This window comes from Homo sapiens, chromosome 11, assembly GCF_000001405.40.
Source record: "Homo sapiens chromosome 11, GRCh38.p14 Primary Assembly".
Lineage (NCBI taxonomy): Eukaryota > Metazoa > Chordata > Mammalia > Primates > Hominidae > Homo > Homo sapiens.
In genome coordinates, this window is record NC_000011.10 from 1,319,193 (window position 1) to 1,343,590 (window position 24,398).

General features: G+C 46.5%; 1 long non-coding RNA gene across 1 annotated transcript; it reads right to left on the minus strand.

Annotated features, from left to right (window-relative positions):
* Positions 1–14,040: 14,040 nt before the first annotated feature.
* LOC124902606 (uncharacterized) lies at positions 14,041–17,505 on the minus strand. Its single transcript, XR_007062545.1, has 2 exons — positions 17,313–17,505; positions 14,041–17,048 (listed from the first exon to the last, which is right to left on the minus strand). It is a non-coding gene; the product is annotated as an uncharacterized LOC124902606 (long non-coding RNA).
* Positions 17,506–24,398: the final 6,893 nt, after the last annotated feature.

Here is a 24,398-nt window from a genome sequence, read left to right on the forward strand (position 1 = left end):
CCATCACAGAAGTGAGCTCTCTGGGCAAACTGCTGCCCCGAAAATTAGAGAGATAAACAGGTGGATACAGACAATCACAACTTACCAAAGCGGAGATCCACCTCTGCAAGAACCAGCACTGGAGGAGGAAAACCTGAACTGTAGTTCGTAAATTTCTGGAGGCTCAGTGTCCACAGGTCTGAGAGGGAAAACTTTCAGGAGGAGGAGGGCCCAGGCAGTCATCAGCCCCCACAACAGTCATCAGCCCCCCCATAGTCATCAGGACCCCCCCACCCTGCTCTTTCAGGAGGATCTAGGCAGTCATCAGCCCCCCACAGTCATCAGCCCCCCTCACCCTGCTCTTTCAGGAGGACCGAGTCAGTCTTCAGCACCCCACAGTCATGAGGCGCCCCCCAATTTCTGCTTTTGTGAGTTTTACCTCCAGGAATTCTACCAGATTCTCGCAGTGAAGAGCAGAGAAAAATCTCCCGGGGTTTACAGCAGGCAGAGAGGAAAAGGAACCATTTTGAAATAGGTTAAAACATTCTGTTCTTCTTAAAAAGGCCTCACCTCAGCAGAAACTAGTTTACCAGAGCCTACCCTACTGGGGTTTTATCAGAACCTCACTGACCTGTGGGAAGGAAAATGCCCAGCTCCAGCTCCCTCTAGCTTTCCATGTTGGAGGAGGGAACTCCTCAACTCCAGCTCCCCTTATGGACACTGTGCCGCCTAAAGGGGTGAAAAACAAAAAACAAACCTGAGAAGCACTTATGAGGTTCACAACCCAGCAGGACAGACTCACCGGGAGACCTAATCGCAGGCCTGTAAAATGCTTTCCTTCTCTTCACACCTCACCACTATGTTACTAAAGGCCTATTTACTGTAGTTCCCTTGACTCAGTGAATCATGTCTGCCTTTCAACAAAGAATTACAAGGCGTACTAAAAGTCAAAAACAAAACAAAGAAACAAAAATGCCATTTGCAGAGATGGAATAAGCACCAGAACTGAGCTGGACCCTGGTGTGATAGCAATGTTGGAATTATCAGATCATGAATCTAAAACAACCATGATTAACATGCTAAGGGCCCTAGTGGATAAAGTAGACAACGTGCAAGAACAGATGGAAAATGAAGGCAGAGAGATGAAAATTCTAAGAAAGAATAAAAAAGAAATGCTAAAGATAAGAATAGTGGCTATAAAAATTAAAATTCCCTTTGATGAGCTTATTAGTAGGCTGGACATGGCTGAGGAAAGAATCTCTGAACTTGAGGCTACATTAATAAAGCCTGAAAAAAACAGGACAGAATATCCAAGAACTGTGGGACAACTACAGAGGTGTAAATATGTGTAATGGGAATGGGAATACCGGCAGGAGAAGAAAGAAAGGAACAGGGCCGGGTGCAGCGGCTCACGCCTGTAATCCCAGAACTTTGGGAGGCCGAGGCGGGTGGATCATGAGGTCAGGAGATCGAGACCATCCTGGCTAACACGGTGAAACACTGTCTCTACTAAAAATACAAAAAAAACCTAGCCGGGCGTGGTGGCGGGCGCCTGTAGTCCCAGCTACTCAGGAGGCTGAAGCAGGAGAATGGCGTGAACCCAGGAGGCAGGGCTTGCAGTGAGCTGAGATCACACCACTGCACTCCAGCCTGGGCAACAGAGTGAGACTCCGTCTCAAAAAAAATAAAATAAAATAAAAATACAAAAATTAGCCAGGCTTGGTGGTGGACACCTGTAATCCCAGCTACTCAGGAGACTGAGGCAGGAGAATCACTTGAACCTGGGAGGTGGAGGTTGCAGTGAGCCAAGATCACACCATTGCACTCCAGCCTAGGCAACAAGATCAAGACTCCATCTCAAAAAAAAAAAAAAAAAAAAAGAACAGAAGCAACATTTGAGGTAATTATGCCTGAGAATTTCTCCTAACTAATTGTCACACACCAAACAACAGATTCAGGAGGATCAGAGAACACCAAGAAGGATAAACAAAAAACAAAAACAATACAAAATAACTATACCTAGTTATATCATATGCAACCTACAGAAAGTGAAAGATCCCTGAGGGAAGCTAGAGTAATACACCTATAGAGGGGCAAAGATAATGATTCCATCTGACTTCTCCTTGGAAACCATGCAAGTAAGAGGAAAGTAGAGTGAAATATTTAAAGTGTTGAAAGGAAAATAAAACTGAACCAAGCTAGAATTCTGTATCCTGTGAAAATCCTTCACAAGTAATGCAGAAACACAGACTTTCTCAGGCAAACAAAAATCGAGAGAATTTGTTGCCAGTACACTTGCCTTGCTAGAAATGCTAAAAGAAGTTCTTCAGACACAAGGAAAATAATACAGGTCAGAAACTCAGATCCACATAAAGAAAGGAAGAGCATCTGAGAAGAAATAATTGAGGGTAAAATAGCTTTTTCTTATTCTTAGTTCATCTAACAGATAATAGCTTGTTCAAAATAATAGCAACAATATATTTGATGATTATAGTTTAAGTGTAAGTGTAATTACACAGTAATTACACAAAATAAAGCAATAATGCAGGGCTGGAAGGGAATAATTAGAATTATGTTGTTATTATAACATACTTGCACTATTCATGAAACAGTATAGTTTTATTTGAAAGAGGACTTTTATGTTAGTTGTAAATGTATATTGTGAACTCTAGGGCAACCATTAAAAAAAAGTAATCTAAAAAGAAGTATAATTGATATGCTAAGAAAGGAGAGAAAATGGAATCATATAAAATTCTTGGTAAAAACCACAAAAGGCAGAAAAAGAGTAGAGACAAAAATAGTAACAAAGAACAAGGGCAATGTATTAGTTTGATTTTATGCTGCTGATGAAGAACATACCTGAGACTGGGTGATTTATATACAAAAAGAGGTTTAATGGACTCTCAGTCCCACATGGCTGGAGAGGCCTCACAATCATGGCAGAAGGCAAAAGCATGTCTTACATAGTGGCAGGCAAGAGAGAGAAGGAAAACCAAATGAAAGGGGTTTCCACTAAAATACCATCAGATCTCATAAAACTTATTCACTACCACGAGAACAGTGTGGGCAAAACCACCCCCATGAGTCAATTAACTCCACCGGGTCCCTCCCACAACATGTGGGAATTATGGGAGCTACAATTCAAGATGAGATTTGGGTGGGGACACAGCCAAACCATATCAGGCAACAAATAGAAAATAGCAACAAACATGGTAGATATTAATCCAACTATAGCAATAATCATTTTAAACATCAATAGTCTAAAAATACCAATTAAAGACAGGGATTGTCAAAGTGGATTAAAAAATAAGACCCAACTATATGGTGACTACAAGAAACTCACTTTAAATATAAAGACATATATAGGCCGGGTGCGGTGGCTCACTCCTGTAATCCCAGCACTTTGGGAGGCCAAGGTGGTAGATCACCTGAGGTCAGGAGTTCAAGACCAGCCTGACCAACATGGAGAAACCCAGTCTCTACTAAAAATACAAAATTAGCCGGGCATGGTGGTGCATGCCTGTAATCCCAGCTACTTGGGAGGCTGAGGCAGGAGAATCGCTTGAACCCAGGAGGTGGAGGTTGCGGTGAGCTGAGATCACGCCATTGCACTCCAGCCTTGACAACAAGAATGAAACTCTGTCTCAAAATGAATAAATAATAAATAAATAAATAAATAAATAAATAAAAAGACATATATAGATTAAAGGTAAATGGAAAGAGAAAGATATACCATGATGAAAAAGAAAACTAGAGTAGCTATACTAATTTCAGACAGAGCAAACTTCAGAGCAAGGAAAATTATTAGGGATAAAGAAGGATATTACGTGATGATAAAGGAATCACTTCTCCAAGAGGATATAACGATCCTTAAAACATATCTGTCTAAAAACAGCACATCAAAATACATGAGGAAAAAACTAATCGGCCGGGTGCGGTGGCTCACACCTATAATCCCAGCACTTTGGGAGGCCAAGGCAAGTGGATCACGAGGTCAGGAGTTCAAGACCAGCCTGGCCAAGATGGTGAAAACCCATCTCTACTACAAATACAAAAATTAGCTGGGCACGATGGCAGGCACCTGTGATCCCAGCTACTTGGGAGGCTGAGGCAGGAGAATCGCTTGAACTTGCAGGGTGGAGGTTGCAGTGAGCCGAGATCAGGCCACTGCATTCCAGCCTTGACAACAGAGTGAGACTCTGTCTCAAAAAACAAACAAACAAAAACAACAACAACAACAAAGACTAATTAAAACTGAGGAATACACTTTAGAGACGTCAACACCCTTTGTCAGAAATAGACAGATACCGCCAGCAGAAAATAAGTAAGGACATAGCTGAACTCCACAGGACCATCAATCAGCTGAATATAATGGACTCCTATAGATTAAATCACCCAACAACAGCAAAATGCACATTTTTCTCAAGCTCTCATGGAATATTTACTAAGATAGACCATATTCTGGGCCATGAAGCACACCTTCACAAATTTAAAACCATAGTACAGTAAGATCAGACCACAGTTAAATTAAATGAGAAATCAATAATATAAAGAAAGCCGGAAAAGATGACTGGGAAGATTGTAATGAATGGACTCTTTACAAAGGAGGGGCAGAGTTCAGTGAATGAACAAGGTGTAGTGAAGCCTCGGGACATTTTTAGCTTCAGGAAGCTGCTACCACTCCTGGCCTTGAAAGGACAAGGGAAGGTCATAGTTACCAGAGAAAGGGACTTATTTGGGGGAAGTTGTGGTCTCACATAGAGGAATAAAGTCACTGCCAAACCACAAGCCTACAAGGAGGGATCTCAGGAAATAGAGAACTCTGACCTCTCTCCTCGCCGCTCATCTCCTGCAGGTGCCTCTCATTAGCCTAACCAGGTGATGCAGCTTGTTAGACACCAGGTTCCTGGGTCACAAAGAAAGGCAGAGAAAGACAGAGAGTGAATTGAGAAACTATACTACACATGCATCCAAATATCAGCCATAACCAGAAGATACAATTTTGTAATGTATCACTGAAAAAAGCAACACAAATAAGGAGGGAACAGAAAATAAGATATTTTCAAAGTGGGCAAAAGTGTGAAGGAAAAATTATAAAACTTTATTGAAAGACATTAATGAAGACCTGAATAAATTGAGGACTATAAACCAGATTCATGGATAGAAAGAGTCAGTATTAAAAATATGTCAATTCTCCCCTAAATCATTCTGCAAAAAGCAATTTCCATTAAAACTCCATAAATGTTTTTAAAAGGAATTTAACAAATGGATTCTAAAATTCATACAAAAAAACCAAAGGCTGAATAATAGCCAAAACATAAAAGAAAGAAAAGGAGAAGGAGGCAGTGGAAGGAAAATGTCAGAGGAGATATAAAAATGTATTATAAAACTATAATTAAGACTGTGATATGGGGATAGACAAATTTCACCAGTGCAACAGAACATGACTATTTGATTTATCAGAGTACAGTCACTGTTGAACAGTTTGGAAAGGAAATATTTTTCAATACATGCTCCACAACAATTAATTGTACGTATGAAAAAAATCCATTTGCACCTCTACCTTATGCCAAACAGAAAAGCAATTCTTAATGGAATTAATCCAATAAATATTTGATGAATTCAGCGTCTACATCATGTTTGGAAAGGATAAAATCAGGAAAAACTGTTGCCTCTCCTCTGATCCATCTCAGAAAGTTTGAGCAGCCACTGAGGTGTCAGGAGATACCCTCCATGAGCAAAGGAGAGCCACTTGGTAGACCAAACATGACAGAAAGGCATTCAGCAGACCAAATGCAGGAGAAAGGCGTCCAGCAGACCAAACGCGGCAGAAAGGTGTCCAGCAGACCAAACGCGGGAGAAAGGCAGCGGGGCGAATGGGTGGAAGAATAAGAGTGAGGTAGGCCAGAAAGAGGGTTTTCAATGCTAGCGTGGAGCATCAGGAACCATCACAATGTATAACAATGAGCCGTATCATGGGGCTTTAAGGAGTGGAGTGGTGTGGCCTTAGAGGTAAGCAGAGATGACATCTTTGTCAAGATAATTAAAGAAGGGGCGGCAGGGTGTGGTGGCTCACGTCTGTAATCCCAGCACTTCGGGAGGCTGAGGCGGGCTGATCACGAGGTCAGGAGTTCAAGACCAGCCTGACCAACATGGTGAAACCCTGTCTCTACTAAAAATACAAAAATTAGCCGGGTGTGGTGGAAGATGCCTGTAATCCCAGCTACTCAGGAGGCTGAGGTAGGAGAATCGCTTGAACCCGGGAGGCAAGGGTGCAGTGAGCTGAGATCGTGCCACTGCACTCCAGCCTGGGCTACAGAGTGAGATTTCATCTCAAAAAAAAAAAAAAAAAAAAAAAAAGAAGGGGCAATTCTGGAGGCCTGGGGTCCAGCCAGATATATTTCTGTTGTACTCTTAGACCACAGTTACGTTAAAATTAGAAATCAATAATATGAAGATAGCTGGAAAAGATGACTGGAAAGATTGTAATGGATGGACTGTTTACAAAGGAGGGGGGGCAAAGTTAAGTGAATGAGTTAAGTGAATGTTCTAAGTGTAGACTGTAAAGGAAATTCTGACTTAAATGTTAGATGCTCCAAGTAATTGCTCCCATTCCCTTAGATAGCAGATGCCAACATCCAGAGCTTGATATGCATGCACATTGACCCTGTGAATCACCTGAGTGAGGTCATCTGCCTGTGGAACCGTCATTGCTTCCAGCCCCGTTCCACGTTGTCATGGGCGTTCCACTCCCCTTGATCTTTCTATTTCTAGATTTCAACTCATAATGGCACACACGGGTCTGAGTAGTCATGGAACATTCTAATGTACCAAGAGCCCCAGACAAGTTTTCTGCATAACGTTAGTGGGATTCTTGAGTGATAATGATACAAAACACCTTCGAGTGTTTAATATGTGCCACCACCGCGCCCGGCTAATTTTTTTGTATTTTTAATAGAGACGGGGTTTCACCGTGTTAGCCAGGATGGTCTCTATCTCCTGACTTCGTGATCCGCCGGCCTCGGCCTCCCAAAGTGCTGGGATTACAGGCATGAGCCACTGCGCCCGGCCAGCAAGACTTTTAATGGCAGTCTTGCAAGACCGGGTGTCTGGTAGGCAGGCACACCCCGGGCAGTTACAGCAGGTAATTGATCTCCTAGCACACAAGCCCTCCCCCAGGTCCTCATTGGTCAAGTACTATGGGTTTACAACCTTCCCCAATGTCACCTGAGTTTCATTTTCCCCCTTATAAGGTTATACCCCGTCCCCTTCCCCGCTTAAGTTTTGATTTTCCAATAACAAAACTTTCTTCCCTTTTATGGGCTGACCCCTCCTCTACATTCTGTTCGCTTATCGTGACCTTCCAGGCGCATGAGCCGTGTGGTTTGTTACATCCTCAGGCTGGCTGCCAGTGCTTAGATTTATCATGCCTTGAAAATGGACCATTTAAAATGTTTTCTCACAATATGATAAAGAAAACAACACTGACATACCACTTTACATCCCTCAGAATAGTAAAAATTAGAAAGGGGTTGGAAATCAAGTTTGGATGAGAGTTGAGGAGATGGGAGGCTCTTGCATCCCTGAGTAGGAACTGGCAGAGGATCTCTGAGAAGTAATATGGACGTGCTTAGTGAAAGTAAATGTGCCCTGTGAGCGCTGTCTCTCGAGAGCATATCCTGTAAACATGCTCACACTGACTCACCGGGGAATGCATTCAAGGCTGTTTTTGCACAGCTGTTTGTGTAGCAGAAATTGGTAGCCTAATTATTCGTCTTTAGAAGAATGAATAAACAAAATGTGATAAATATGCACTCTGGGACACTGTGCAGTGCAGAGAGACAATAAAGTCGGTGTTCACAGAACCACTTGCATATGTTTATAAAATCCAGGAAAATATCTTAAGCAGCAGTTTTCAAGACATCAGATGTAAAAGGCAGTAAAGTTCAGCAACCCCCGAGAGAGAAAGCAAATGAGGTGAGCCCTGTGATTGCCTCTGTGCACCACCTAGAATTTCCAGGCTGCAGCACAGGGATGTGTAACATAGGCAAAGACACGTGGTCTCCTTGAGCTGAGGAGACTTCGCTGGGAGTCCAAGGAGGACAGGAAAGCTGGAGTTCTCAGGGCCGAGTGCCAGGGAGGAGAGAGCTGCACAGTGAAAGAGGAGCAGAGGCCTACAGAGGCTCCTCCTTGCATCTTCAGCTCAGTACTGATGAGTACATGCATCTGGTGAAGCCAGCCAAGGAAAGAATTTCAGAAATAACATTGTTAGCTAACACAGGGCCAGGAATAGTTCCTATTCCCACCATTTAGAGTGAAAAACCACAGAATTGACAGGATACTGAGTAGAGTACTCGAAAGTGTTTTGCCTTCATGTTGCCAGGGATAAGTGGGCCATTTTATAATGATAATGGGAGAAACAAATCAGAGGACATATAAATCCTAAACGTTTGTACACTTAGTTATACAGCTTCAAAATACTTTTGAAGTTTTGCTTCAAAAGAGCAAAACCTGATAGAACTGCAAGGAGAAGCAGACAAATTCACAACTGTAGCTGGAGATTTCAACAATCTTTTCTCAGCATTCCATAAAACAAACAGAGAACCTTAGTACAGGTAGAAAAGATTTGAACAACACTATCAAACAACTTGATCCAGCTGATATTTATAGAAAACTCCACCCAAGACCAGCAGAATACACTGAACGTGTATCAAGATAGACTACATTCTGGGCCAGAAAAGAAGTCTAAAATGAGTACGTTCTCTAGCCAAAATGGAATTAAATTAGAAATCAACAGTAAGAAGTGATCTGCAAAATTCCCGTTATATTTGGAAACTAACATACTACTAAATATCCCATGCATCAAAGAAGAAATCAAAAGGAAAATTAGGTAGTATTTTGCATTGAATGAAGATAAAAACATATATTATGTTTTGTGGGACGCAGCTAATGCTGTATTTAAGGGGAAATTCATAGCACTAAATATCTACATTAAAAAAGAGGGAAGGTCTGAAATAACTGATATTAGCATTTTTCTTTGGACATTAGAAAAAGAAGAGAAAATTAAATTCTAAGGAAGCAGAAAGTGATACGTAAAGGTCATAGCAGAAATCAAATGAACTAGAAAACAGAAAGACCACAGAGAAAATCAATAAAAACAAAAGCTTATTTTTGAGAAGGTCAATAAAATTGATAAACCTCTGGGTAGACTGACCAGGAAAAAAAAAAAGACAGAAAACACAAATTGCTAGCACCAGCAATGAGAAAGGAGGCATCATTACAGATTCTACAGACATTAAAAGAATAATAAGGGAATGTTATGAACAGCTTTACTTAAGTTAAACATAATGAAATAGACGCATTTCTTGAATGACATAAATTATCAAAACTCACTCAAGAAAAAATAGAAAAAATATTCATTTATCTACTAAAGAAGTTAAAAAAAAAAAAAAAAAAACCTTTCTACAAACAAAACTCCAGACTCAAAGTCTTCACTGGTGAGTCCCAAATAATAAGTCTCAAACATATACAAATATTTGAGAAAGAAATAACACCAATTTTACAGAGACTGTTCCAGAAAATAGTGTAGGAGGAAATACTTTCCAACTCATTCCATAAGGCTATAGCATATGCTGGTACTATCATCAGACAAATACATGGTAAGAAAAGAAAAGAGCAAACCAACAGCCTTCACAAACCCACAAGCAAAATTCTCAACAAAAATTCGAGCAAAATGAATTTATCAGTGTATAGTAAGGATAATACATCATGACAAAGTGGCATTTATTTCAGGAATGCAAGAGTGGTTTAACACTTGCAAATTATCCTGCAAAGTAATTTACCACGTTAATAGAAAAACCAGATGATCATCGGAATAGAGGCGGAAAAAGCATTTGACAAAATCCAAAATCCATTCCAGATATTAGCTTTCTGCAAAATAGGAATAGAAGGGAATTCCCTCAATCTGATAAAGGGCATCTGCAAAAAAACATACAGCTGGCATTGTACCCAATAGTGAAAGAAGGAATGCTTTCCCCTAAGATCAGGAACAAGGCAGGGATGTCCACTTTAATTACTTCTACTAAAAATTGCAATGCAGGCTGGAAACAGGCCAATCAGGCAAGAAAAAGGAAAAAAAAGTGCCCAATTGAAAAATAAGTAAAACTGTTTTCATTCACAGACAAATGATTGCCTATGTAGAAAATCCTACAAAATCTGTAGAATGCAGTAGCTACTAGAAGTAATTAGTGAGTTTAGCAAGTTTGCATACTTTAAGGGAAGTAAAAAAAAATCTGTTGTATTTCTACAGTAATAAACAATCATACATTAAATAAAAAGCAATTCTATTAACAGTAACATCAAAAACTTAAATACTTAGAAATAAATCTGACAAAAATGTGCAAAACTTATATATTGAAAATTGTAGGCTGGGAGTGGTGGTTCACGACTGTAATCCCAGCACTTTGGGAGGCAGAGGTGGGCAGATCACCTGAGCTCAGGAGTTTGAGACCACCCAGGGCAACGTGGTGAAACCCTGTCTCTATTAAAATACAAAAAAATTAGCCAGGCATGGTGGCACATGCCTGCAATCCCAGCTACTCAGGAGGCTGAGGCACAAGAGTCCCTTGAGCCCCAGAGGCGGAGGTTTCAGTGAGCCAAGATGGCACCACTGCACTCCAGCCTGGGCGACAGACCAAGACTCCGTCTCAAAAAAAAAAAAAATTTTTTTTACAAAATATGGCTGAGGGATTAAAGAATAGCTAAATAAATGGAAAGATACATTTTGTTCATGTTAAGACTCAATATCTTTAAGATGTTAATTCTCCCCTTATTGGTCTAGAGAGTCAATACAACTCCAACCAAAATCCCAGTGGCTCTTTTTAAGGGATTGATAAATTGTTGCTGAAATTCATATGAAAATGCAACAGATCTAGAAAATCCAAAACAACTTTGAAAAAGAAGAATGGCCAGGTGCGGTGGCTCACACCTGTAATCCCAGCACTTTGGGAGGCCAAAGCAGGTGGATCACCTGAGGTCAGGAGTTCGAGACCAGTCTGGCCAACATGGTGAAACTCCATCTGCACTAAAAAATACAAAAAAATTAGCCAGGCATGGTGGCGTGTGCCTGTAATCCCAGCTACTTGGGAGGCTGAAGCAAGGGAATTGCTTGAACCAGGGAGTTGGAGGTTGCCGTGAGCTGAGATCGCGCCATTGCACTCCAGCCTGGGTGACAGAGTGAGACTCTGTCTCAAAAAAAAAAAAAAGAAAAAAGAAAAAGAAGGATACAATTGGAAGAGTTATGCTAATTTATTTCAAGAGATATTATAAAATTACAGTCATCAAGCCACTGTGGCACTGATGATGTCAATATCAACAGTAGGTCGGCAGGACAACATAGAGGACAGAAACCGATTCACAGATACGTGGTTAATTGTGGTTAAAAAATGCATAGCATAAAATGTACCACCTTAATCATTTTTTCTGAGACACAGTCTTACTCTGTTACCTAGGCTGGAGTGTGGTGGCATGATCATGGCTCACTGCAGCCTCAACTTCCTGGGCTCACGTGATCCTCCCACTTCTGCCTCCCGAGTAGGTGGAACCACTGTGCTTGGCTAACTGTTTTTTTTTTTTTTCTTTTTTCTTTTAGTAAGACACGATGTCTCACTATGATGCTCAGGCTGGTCTTGAACTCCTGGGCTCAAGTGATCTTCCTGCCTCGGCCTCCCAAAGTGGTGTGAGCTACTGCACCAGGCCTTAATCATGTTTAAGCGTATATTTAAGTAGTGTTAAATATATTCACAATGTTGTGCAACCAATCTCCAAAACTTTTTCATCTTGCAAAGCTGAAACTCTGTACCATTAAACAACAACTCCCCATTTTCCCTCCCCTAGTCGCTGGTAACCGGCATTCTACTCTCTGTTCATATGAATTTGACCACTTAGAAAACCTCATGTTAGTGGAGTCAGATAGTATTTGTCTTTTAGTGACTGACTCATTTTATGAAGATGAACCCCTAGATTCATTCACGCTGCAACATGTGTGAGAATTTCCTTCCTTTTTAAGGCTGAATTATGTCCCACTGTAAGCATGTTTCACATTTATTTTTCTGCTCACCAGACGATGGACATTTGGGTTGGTTTAACCTCTTGGCTATTGTGAATAATTCTTGATGAATTAATTTTTAACAAAAGAGTCAAGACAATTCAGCTGAGAAAAGATGGTCTTTTCAACAAATGGTGCTATGACAATTGTATATCCACATGCAAAACCATAACTTTGATCAGTATTTCACATCATGAAAAAAATTAACTGAAAATTAATCATAGATCTAGGTATAAAAGTAAAAATATAAATATTAGTGAAGAAAACAGTAGAAAATCTTTGTACTCTCAAAGTAAAGATTTTCTAGATACAATAGGAAAAGCACAATCTATATGAGAAAAAAGAATAAATCGTACTTCATTAAGTAGAATAAACTTTTGTTCTTCTAAAGATGCTAAAAGAATAAAAAGGCAAGCCATAGACCAACAAAATATTTGCAAATTGTATATCCAATAAAGGATGTGTAAGTAGAATATATCAAGAACTCTTTAAACTCAACAGCAGGAAAACCAACAACCCAACTAAAAATGGGCAAAAGATTGGAACACACACTTCAAGGAAGACATAGAAGTGGCAAAGAGGTTGAGAGTGGTGGCTCATGGCTGTAATTCCAGCACTTTGGAAGGCTGAGGCAGGTGGATCACCTGAGGTCAGGAGTTTGAGATGAGCCTGACCAACATGGTGAAACCCTGTCTCTACTAAAAATACAAAAAAAAATTAGCCAGGTGTGGTGGCGGGCACCTGTAATCCCAGCTACTCAGGAGGCTGAGGCAGAAGAATTGCTTGAAACTAGGAGGTGGAGATTGCAGTGAGCCGAGATCACGCCACTGCACTCCAGCCTGGGCGACAGAGTGAGACTCTATCTCAAAAAAAAAAAAAAAAAAGTGGCAAAGAAGCACCTGAAAGCACTCTCAGCACGTCCATCATCAGAGAAATGCAAACTAAAAGCACAGCAAGCTGCCACTGCATGCCTATTCCAGCACTACATTAAAAACAATGGCTATACCAATGGCTGCTGGGGACATGGAGGAACTGGATCTCCCATCACTGACGCTGGGAAAGCAAAATGGTGCAGCTGCTTTGGAAGACAGTTTTGTAGTTTCTGAAAAAGTTTTGTATTCTTGTTACTGAGTTTCTGAAAAGGTTAACACACACCTGCTGTATGATTCCTCTCCTAGGCCTTTCACTGGGAAGTATGAAACTGCCTGTCCCTATGAAGGATGCCCATGGCTGCTTTATCTGTAATGGTCTCAGACTGGGAACAACCCCAATGTCCATCGATGTGGAAACAGATAATCCGTGTTATATCCAACCAGTGGAGGTCCAATCAGTCATGAAAAGGAGTGAATTATTCGCACACACAACATGAAAGAATCTCAAAGAAGCAGGCACAACATGACAGAGTAAACACTGTAAGAGATTCCATGTGTTCAAAACGTAAGGAGATATAAACTGACCTATCGTGTTAGTTGGTTCTTGCATTGCTCTAAAGAAATATCTGAGACTGGGTAATTTATTTAAAAAAAAAAAGGGAGGGCTTAATTGTAGGCTGTACAGGAAGCATGGTGGCTTCTGCTTCTAGGGAGGCCTCAGGAAACTTACAATCATGGCGGAAGGCAAAGGGGGACCTGGCAGGTCAGGTCACGTGGCTAGAGCAGGAGCAAGAGGGGGGAGGGGAGGTGCCACACACTTTTAAACAAGTAGATCTCATGAGAACTCACTATGACGATGAGAGTTCCCAGTGGGGATGGTGCCAAACCATGAGAAACCACTCCCACGATCTAATCACCTCCCACCAGGCCCCACCTCCAGCATTGGGGATTACAATTTGACATGAGATTTGGGTGGGGACACAGATCCAAACTATATCACCTATGAAAACAGAAGGCAGGTCAGTGGGCTGCAGAGAGAGAGTGGAGGGAGAGGGCGGGAGGAAGGTAAGCGGCACTGGAGGCTTGGGGGGGTCTGTTTATTATCTCGATTGTGGTGATGCTTTTGGTGTCATTTGCAAAAGGCAAAACATATCAACTGATAACACTTTAGATAAATGCGGCTTGTTGTATGCAAATCATACTTCAGCTAGCTGCTGAAAGAGAGATGTATACCTACAAAACACCACACACACAGGAAGATGCCTGCGTAGTTAAGGGACTGGGGTACAAAGGTCAGCATTGAACCAGGGGCTGAGTTCTGCAGTAGGAGTGGGGCCCCACAGCAGGAAGCAAGCTGAATATACACAGAGACTGTTAGGACCATGCAATGGCACGGGTGGCCACAGCCACCAAGAGAGCCAGACCGGGGCCAGCAGTGCAGCAGGAGCTGCACCAAGGAGCTGCCCTGTCGAGGAGAAGTCTAGAAACTACAGCCAAGGACTGGCCCTGAATATCTCATTCCGGAAGCAATTCCAAGGGAAGCCCAGCCTTGGCTGCTCAGCAAAGGTGACTCAGAGCAGCGGTCCATCCTGCCATGCACAGACTAGCAGCCCTCTCTGGGCAGAGGGACTTCAGGATGCACCAAATTCATGCACTTGGTTCAAGCAGTTTCAGAAATTTGCAGTCTGCTTGCTCTCTCTCCCAGATGAGCTTTAGGCAAAGATGTTCTTTTGAGGCACCAGATATGTCCTCTCCTTGCTCATGGTCAAGGTGGCTGAGAGCTGCTGCCGGGTACTGAAGCCCTTGACCACATGGGCACTGCTCATGGGACGTCCTCGAAGCTGTCCCTGAAGGACGTCCCTGGAGAGCCGCCAGGGAGCCTGTCCACCTCCTACCTGGCTCGGCCAGCCCCAATTTCAGCGCACAGGGTTCCTCCACCTCTCAGTTCTCATGAATGATGCTGCAATGAACATGCAACATGGGTGTGCAAATATCTCCTCAAGACCCTGCCTTCAACTCGATGTCATTCCTTTTTATGGCCGGATAATATTCCGTTGGATGGATGCAGCCCATGTTTCATCAGTTGATGGACATGTAGGTTAATTTCACATCGGGGTATTATTAATAATGCTGCTATGAACATTTGTGGACAGGTTTTTAATGTGGACACACTTTCAGTTCTCTTGGGCATATATGTGGGAGCAGAATTGCTGGGTCATGTGACAACTCTGTGTAACGTTTGGAACAACTGCCCGACTGTTTTCCACGGTGTCCGCACCATGTTACATTCCCTCCAGCGATGAATGAAGTTTCCAATTTCTCCACATCCCCACCAACACTTGCTGTTTTCCAGTTAAACAAAATTATTAATAGAGATTGTAGCCACCCTAGTGGGTGCATTTCCCTGAGGGCTACTTATGTGGAGCATGTTTTTGTGTTGATCAGTCATTTGTGCATCAGCTTGGAGAAATGTCTACTCATATCCTTTGCTTTTTTTTTGACAGAGTCTCACACTGTCACCCAGGCTGGAGTGCAGTGGTGCGATCTCAGCTCACTGCAAGCTCCGCCTCCCGGGTTCACGCCATTCTCCTGCCTCAGCCTCCCAAATAGCTGGGACTACAGGCGCCCGCCACCATGTGTGGCTAATTTTTTTTGTATTTTTAGTAGAGACAGGGTTTCACCGTGTTAGCCAGGATGGTCTCGATCTCCTGACCTCATGATTCGCCCGCCTCAGCCTCCCAAAGTGCTGGGATTGCAGGCGTGAGCCGCTGCGCCTGGCCCCTTTGCCATTTTTTAATTGAGCTGCTTGTCTTTTCGTTGTCAAGTTGCAATTGTTCTTTGTGTAATATAACCCCCTTTATATATGCCAGATACAAGTCTCTTATAGACAAGTGATTTGCAAATATGTTCTCCCATTTTGCAGATTGTTTTTTGGTTTTCTTGATGGTGTCCTTTGAAGCACAAAATTTGTTGATTTTGAGGAATTCAGTTTATCTATCTTTTTCTTTTGTTTCTGTGCTTTTTGGGTCATATCTAAGTAAACCAAGCTCAAAAAGATTCACCCCATGTCTTCTCAGTGATTTATAGTTTGAATTTCTACATCTAGGTCTTTAACCCACTTTAAACTAATTGTTCTATGTGGTATGAGGCACCTGTCTCTTCCTAGAGACCACTGCACTCCACCTGTCCCTGAGAATGACTCCTGACTCCACTGCATACGAGTCCCTCTCCCCCACCTTCTACCTGGAAAACTCCTATTCATCCCATCAAGACCCAGCCCTGGGTTGCTCCTGGGTGGCTTTTTTCACTCTCCTTGGCAGCTTTAACTGCTGCCTGGGATGTGGGCTCAGGGCCAGTGCCCTGGAGGGCCCCTGTCATAGCCCTTCTCACCAGCACTGAGATTGGTCACCTCCGAGTCTGGTGGGCCCGGGGCCCCCATGCAGGTGCACACAAGTGCTGCTGAGTGACTGGTGATCATACAGCCAACATTCGCGGTGACATTCATGCACCGGGGACTTCACAATTCCCCGGACTCGTCATAAGGGCTGCTCGGCCCCATCTTACAAATGGGGAAACTGAGCCTGGGGGGTTCAGTAACTTGCTGAGTTCACACAAACAGTGAGTGGATGGCTGGATGAGTTTGTAAAAGGAAGGTCGATTCTGCATGATGAAGCTAAATTGGAGCCCAAAATTCTCTCTTCCGGCCCCCAGTAGAATATTATGGGTGCACCCAAAGGAATGTAAAAAGACCAGATGCCCAGGACACGGGGCGGTGCCTGATGAAACAGCTGCATTAGAGAGTGACTTTGCAACTCTGGAGAGAAGCCACTGAAACCCAGCGCTCCTATAAATAGCAGCTCTTGCAAAGCATCGGGTGTGAATTTTCGTGGTGTTGGCAAATTCAGAGATTGAGAAATCCAGAGACGTTCATGTTCCCGGAGAAAGGAGTGGGGTGGGGAGGGAGGTCGCAAGCAATGCCATCTTCAGGAACAAAACTCCTGCATAACGAAGCCCAGGTTTCTGTGTTTTCGTGGGTGTTCCCGGGCACCTTCGGGCAGGTGGCCCCAGGCGATGTTGTGTGTCTCTCCTGGCTGTGGACGAATGGACGCCTGGGGTGAGGCTGGGCCAGGGACCTGGGGCTTGTGGGTGTCGGCTCCCATCCCGGGGTCCTCCCCCGCCGTCCTCCCCCCTCCCCCGCCCTCTCTCCCACCCTCCTCCCTCCTCCCACCTCCCCTGCCCTCTCCCACCGGCGTGCACCCCCCCGCCCCGCTGCTCACCGCCCACCACTCCCCAGAGGCCGCTTGCTTCCCCGTCTTTGGCCCTGGGCCCCCAGTACCGCCCCGTGCCCCCCTCACTTCTCCCCCGGAAGCGCATCCGTCAGGGAAACCGTCCTAAGACCGTCCGCACTCGCTTCAGAGCCGCTGCAAACGGCCGTCAATCCGTCATTCAGACGCGAAGACAAAGCGTCCCTGGCTCAGCCCTGAGAAGCAGCGGGACGGCGGCGCGTTCCTGAGTTCCCGCCACGCGGGCGCCCGGCGAGGGCGGGGCGGGGCGGGGCGGGCGGGGGGGCGGGGCGTGGAGGGCGGGGGGGCGGGGCGTGGAGGGCGGGGGGCGGGGCGTGGAGGGCGGGGGCGGGGCGTGGGGGCGGGGGCGGGGCGTGGGGGCGGGGCGTGGAGGGCGGGGGGGCGGGGCGTGGAGGGCGGGGGGCGGGGGGATGGGGACAAGGTAGGGGTCGTGGGGCGCTGGGCTCACCCCAGGCCCTCAGGTGTCTCGAGATGGCCCGGGCTCCGAGCGCTCCCGGCGCTTACGCTAGAGCCTCCTCCTGTGCGAAACGCGTCCGTGCCCAGGCGCGGGGACCCTGCAGGGCTGTGGGTTCGCGCTGCCGCTGATCCTGCGTCTTCCCCCCTCCCAGGCCCCGCGTCCAGCCCGCCCCGCCCGCGGTGGGAGACGCGCCCTCCAGGTGCGGATGAGACGCGCGGACAGCGGGATGGAGAAGGTGAGACCTGTCCGGCCCCCGCCTCGCGCTCCCGCTTCTCCAGGAAGAGGTGTCGCCGCCGCCCGGGGGTCCCCGTCCCTCCCTAGCCCGATCCCCCGGAGCCGCGGCCCCACCACCGCCTGGCACTCCCGGGAGCGCGCGGCCTCGGAGCCCCCAGCCCCGCACAGCCCCTTGTCCCCGGCTGGGAATGGCGCCTCGCACGGGGTCCCTCGGAGGCCGCGAGGCTCCGCTCGGCGTGTTCGGAAGCCACCCCCAGCTCCCCCGGCAGCTTGGAGCCTCAGAAACGCGGGGCAGAGACGCGACACGGAGCCGCCTGGCACTGAGACTCCCCAGTGGCTGCGCCGCCTTCCCGGGGGCCCGAGGCGGGGGCGGGGGGCGCGCTCGCTTCTTCCCCTCGCGGGGGTCTTCCCAGCCCACCGGCCACGGCCGCTCCGTTCCAAGCGCGCTTTTCATTCCGCGTCATCTTATCTGACAAACGTTAAAAAGAGGGAGGGTGGGAGGCCCCGAAGTCCCACCCGAGTCCCCGCGGGGCCGCTGCCCCCTGGAAGTCCCCGCGGCCATATGGCGGCTCCGTGGAGGGCGCGGTCCTGTCCCCGGAGCCACCGCGGGGAGGGACCCCAGGGCCTGGGGGGCGCCTCCGGGGGACAGAGGCGGCCACGGAGGGGCTCCCGGGACACTCGCGAAATTCAGATTCACGGGGCAACCGGCTTCAGACCTCCTCACTCCCTTCTTCACCAGAGCCGCCCCTCCCAGGTTCACCTGCCAGCCCCTGAGTCTCCTCTGCCAATCTCTCTTCTCCTCCTGGTCTCTCTCTGTCTCTTCTTTGTCTCTCCGTCTCTATCTCTTTATCTTTTGTCTCTCTCTATTTCTGTCTCTCTGTGTCTCTCTCATCTCTGCCTCTATCTCTCATTACTCTTGTTTCTCTCTATCTCTTTCTGTCTCTCTCTGTTCTCTGTCTCTCTCTGTTCTCTGTCTCTCTCTGTTTTCTGTCTCTGTTCTCCGTATCTCTCTGTCCTTTCTCTGTCTCTCCCCTGGGCCTGGGCCCCTCCACCCCTTCACCCCACGTGCTGCTCATCTCTGTCTCTCTTGTCCTTTTCCGGGCCCTGGCCTCTTCCCCAGCTCAGCCTGCAGGAGGCCCGTCTCCTGCACCCCTCCCCGTCCTCCATCCTTTCTGGTCCCCCATCTCCTCCACCTCTCTGCATCCTCCATCTGCTGGTCCTCCAGAGACCCCCTTTCAGTTCCTCGCCCCTGTTCCAGGTGTGATATGGTTTGGCTCTGGGTCCCCACCCAAATCTCAGGTTGAATTGTAATCCCCATAATCCCCACGTGTCAATCTCGGGACCAGGTGGAGGTGACTGGATCATGCGGTCGGGTCCCCCATGCTGTTCCCGTGATAACGAGTGAGTATCCCCGTGGGGCCTTCTCCCTCCGTTCAGCACACATTCTCTGTCCTGCCACCCTGTGAAGAGGTGTCTTCCGCCATGATTGTAAGTTTCCTGAGGCCTCCCCAGCCATGCAGAACTGCGAGTCAATTAAACCTCTTTCTTTATAAATTACCCAGTCTTGGGTTTTCTTGATAGCAGCGTGAGAATGGGCTCATACAAGGTGTGTCCCAGGCTGGAGGTTGTCCAAGTCCCGGAGGCATCCCCAGCACCAAGACTCCGGTCGTGATCGCTGGCAGAGTCCCACGGGGGTGGGGGGCCCGGGCCACGGTGGATGGTTCTGGAGCTGCCCGGCCTCCAGCAGGAAACCTTCCTCTTCTGCACTTGAGTGTCTGCGGGAACTCCCACGCCACTTCCCGAAAGGATGAACCTTCTCAATGTGCTGCGCCTGCACCTGGCGAGCAGCTTTGGCATTTCTCAGGCGCTCATCTGTCAGGGCATCCACTGGGATCCGGCACTGCTCCGGGCGTGGGGGATGCAACTGATGGGATCATACGCGTGCATCTGTGAGTGTACACGTGCGTGTGTGAGGATGTCGCCTCCACACTGCATGGATGTGGCGTGTCCGTAAGTGTGCACGTGCACGCCGTGAAATAAGATTTTGAAATCAGTACCCTTGACATGAAGCAAATACCTTTGTAAATAACTTTCTGGTTGTAGAGGAAATGAAAACTTAGATTACAAGCTGTTTAGAGAAGAAGGGCCTCTTGAGTTCTTGAAGCAAAACCTCCACGAAGTCGCCAAAGGGAGCTCCAAGGGCAACTTAAAGGCCTTGGCTATGAAACAGGAAAGACAGAAAGCAAGCCCATTAGGCTGGAGTGAGGCAGTAAAACACACTCCAGGAAAGTAGAGGAAAGGAATTATTGAAAGCAAAATAGAAAGTGATAAAATAGAAAAATTGAAAAGCAAACTTGCTCACTAAAACCCAAAGCTAGACTTGGAAAAGAATGAATTTGACCAAGGTAAATAGAAATGGATCAATAGAAAGACAAAACTGGCCAGGTGCGGTGGCTCACGCCTGTCATCCCAGCAATTTGGGAGGCTGAGGCGGGTGGATCACTTGAGGTCAGGAGTTCAAGACCAGCCTGACCAACATGGCGAAACCCTGTCTCTACTAAAAATACAAAAATTAGCTGGGCGTGGTGGCAGGTGCCTGTAGTCCCAGCTACTCAAGAGGCTGAGGTAGGAGAATCACTTAAACCTGGGAGGTGGAGGTTGCAATGAGCCAAGTTGACACCATTGTGCTCCAGCCTGGGCGACAGAGCAAGACTCCAAAAAAGAAAGAAAGAGAGAGAGAGAGAAACAGGAAAGAAAGGAAGGAAGGAAGGAAGGAAGAAAGGAAGAAAGAAAGAACAACCATGGGAAAGAGGAAAAGGAGCAAGGATAGATTCTGAAGATGTTTGAAAATTAAGAGAGAACGCGTCACACACATCGATACCGATACATTTGAAGACCTTGATGAAATGGGTCATTTCTAAAGCAACATCGGAAAAACGGACTTATTCTTTAACTCATTCATTCCTAGATATTTGGAGGCCCTCCCAGGAGCCAGGCTGCTGAGACCGCAGGAGGCAGACAGACAAACAGACAGGGACCCCCGCCCTTGAGGCACTGACCTTCTCACAGGACCCAAGTGAGGCAGAAAACCATGAGCCATGACCAGGAAGACGTAAGATGGTGCCCGTACCGCCACCAGCAGCCGGGAGACCTGCAGAGCCAGCCTCGCAAATCTCTAAGAAGCAGGCTTGGCCTGTGTTACATGGACACAGAGTCCAGGGACAGATGGACAGCTCCCATGGCCGTGGGGCCAGACCTGGGCACGCCCGGACCTCCTACTGTGGCCCACCCATGGACAGACACGACACACACAGAGGCAGACATGACACTTGCCCAGAAATACGCACACACAGACACTGAGAGACACAGACACACATACACACTCACCTCGAAATATGATACACACACATCCAGACACACACAGAGACACACTACCCTAGAAATACACAGACACACATCCAGACACACACAGAGACACACCCACATCCAGACACACAGAGATACACTCACCTAGAGATACACACAGACACACCCACATCCAGACACACAGAGACACACACCCACCTAGAGATACACACATACACAAACACATCCAGGCACACACAGAGACGCACCCACATCCAGACACACAGAGACACACTCACCTAGAAATACACACAGACACACCCACATCCAGACACACAGAGACACACACTCACCCAGATATACACACATACACAAACACATCCAGGCACACACAGAGACGCACCCACATCCAGACACACAGAGACACACTCACCTAGAAATACACACAGACACACCCACATCCAGACACACACAGAGACACACTCACCTAGAGATACACACACACAAACACATCCAGACACACACAGACACACCCACAGTAACACACACTGACAGAGAAAAACACACAGGTGCACACACACCCAGTGACACAGACACATAGAGACACAGACACACACAAATACACAGAGGCAGACACCCAGTAATACACATAGACACAGCCAGTAACATACAGCAAGAAAAAAAATGGAAAAGAGAAAACCACAGGACAATATCACACAAAAATATGGATACAAGCATTCTATAAATTTCTATTTTACAGTTTTAATTTCACAAGCCACACATAGATGATACAACGACACAGATAGTGCCTAGATCCCCCATGGCTGTCCCATGGCCCAGCCCCTTCACCTCCCCAGAGCTGACGCTGTCTGCCTGGTTTAGGTTGGGGTCTCTGCTGCATACGGAAACACACAGTGTGACTGCTGTCCGCACGGTTTAGGGTGGGGTCTCTGCTGCATGCGGAAACACACAGTGTGACCACTGTCCGCACAGTTTAGGGTGGGGTCTCTGCTGCATATGGAAACACACAGTGTGACCACTGTCCGCACAGTTTAGGGTGGGGTCTCTGCTGCATATGGAAACACACAGTGTGACCGCTGTCCACATGTTTAGGGTGGGGTCTCTGCTGCATACGGAAACACACAGTGTGACCGCTGTCCGCACGGTTTAGGGTGGGGTCTCTGCTGCATACAGAAACACACAGTGTGACTGCTGTCCGCATGTTTAGGGTGGGGTCTCTGCTGCATATGGAAACACACAGTGTGACTGCTGTCCGCATGTTTAGGGTGGGGTCTCTGCTGCATACGGAAACACATAGTGTGACTGCTGTCTGCCTGGTTTAGGTTGGGGTCTCTGCTGCATACGGAAACACACAGTGTGACTGCTGTCTGCATGTTTAGGGTGGGGTCTCTGCTGCATATGGAAACACACAGTGTGACTGCTGTCCGCATGTTTAGGGTGGGGTCTCTGCTGCATATGGAAACACACAGTGTGACCGCTGTCCGCATGTTTAGGGTGGGGTCTCTGCTGCATATGGAAACACACAGTGTGACCACTGTCCGCATGGTTTAGGGTGGGGTCTCTGCTGCATATGGAAATACACAGTGTGACCGCTGTCCGCATGGTTTAGGATGGCGTCTCTGCTGCTTATGGAAACACACAGTGTGACCACTGTCCGCATGGTTTAGGATGGCGTCTTTGCTGCTTATGGAAATACACAGTGCTGCTTTCTTTCTTGCCTAAATAAAACACGAGCAGACAGAAGCCAGCAAGGGATGGAAATAGCACCTCGTCATAGTCAGAAGCGAGTTTATCTCAGCATGCGAGGGCGTTCTGACATTAGGAAGTCTATTAATGCAATTCAGTACACCCGGAGCTTGGGTGCAGTCTCAGGAAATCGGGAATGGAAAAGCACTTCCTGCATTCCATCCAGGGTGTCTACTAAAACATACAGTGTCTGTCTTACGTATTCTAAAACCTCAGAGGCATCCATGAAACTCTGGAATAAGATGTGGGTGGGGATTTGCAGAGAATTGACATCCCTAACAACACCGAGTCTTCTGGTCCCTAAATAGGGTCTATTTCTCCATTTTCAGTGACAATCTTTAATTTCTCTTGAAATGTCATAATTTCCACCACCATGTTCTTCCACATCTTCTGTTAAGTTTATTTATAGACACTTGATATTTTGGGTGTTATTATAAATAATAGCTTCCAAATTTGATTTTTAGTGGTTTGTTACTGATGTGTAAATTTTTATATATTAATTTCTTTATTATGTTAAAATACACATAACATACAATTTACTGTATTAAACTTTTTTTGAAAATTTGAGACAGGGTGCCACTGTCTTCCAGGCTGAGTGCAGTGGTACAATCACAGCTCACTACAGCCTCCACCTCCTGGGCTCAAGCCATCCTCCCGCCTCAGCCTCCCAAGTAGCTGGGACCATAGGTGCGAACCACCATGTCCGGCTAATTTTTTCATATTAAATATGTTTCAGTGTGTAGTTCAGCAGCATTAAGCATTTTCCCAGTGCTTGATTTTTCCTGTAGGTGGTATTAAGTAGCTGGCTAGGGCTGCCTTAACAAAGCCCCACAGTTGGCCGGGCGTGGTGGCTCACGCCTGTAGTCCCAGCACTTTGGGAGGCCGAGGCAGGTGGACCACTCAAGGTCAGAAGTTCAAGACCAGCCTGGCCAACATATAGTGAAACCCCGTCTGTACTAAAAAACACAAAAATTAGCTGGGCGTGATGGCACATGCCTGTAATCCCAGCCACTTGGGAAGCTGAGGCAGGAGAATCACTTGAACACCTGGGAGACGGAGGTTGCAGTGAGCCGAGATCACACCACTGCACTCCAGCCTGGGTGACAGAGCAAGACGCCATTTCTAAAAAAGCAAAGCTTCATGGGCGGGCAGCGGGAGCAGCAGACAGTTACTCTCACAGTCCTCGAGGCTGGAGCCGAAGATCAAGGTTTCTTCTTGGACCCGCACAGGGCTGGGTCCTTCTGAAGCCTCTCACCTTGGCTGGTAGACAGCGTCCCCCTCGTGCACAGCTCTGTCTAAATGTCCTCCTTCTGCTAGGACACTGGTCATGTTGG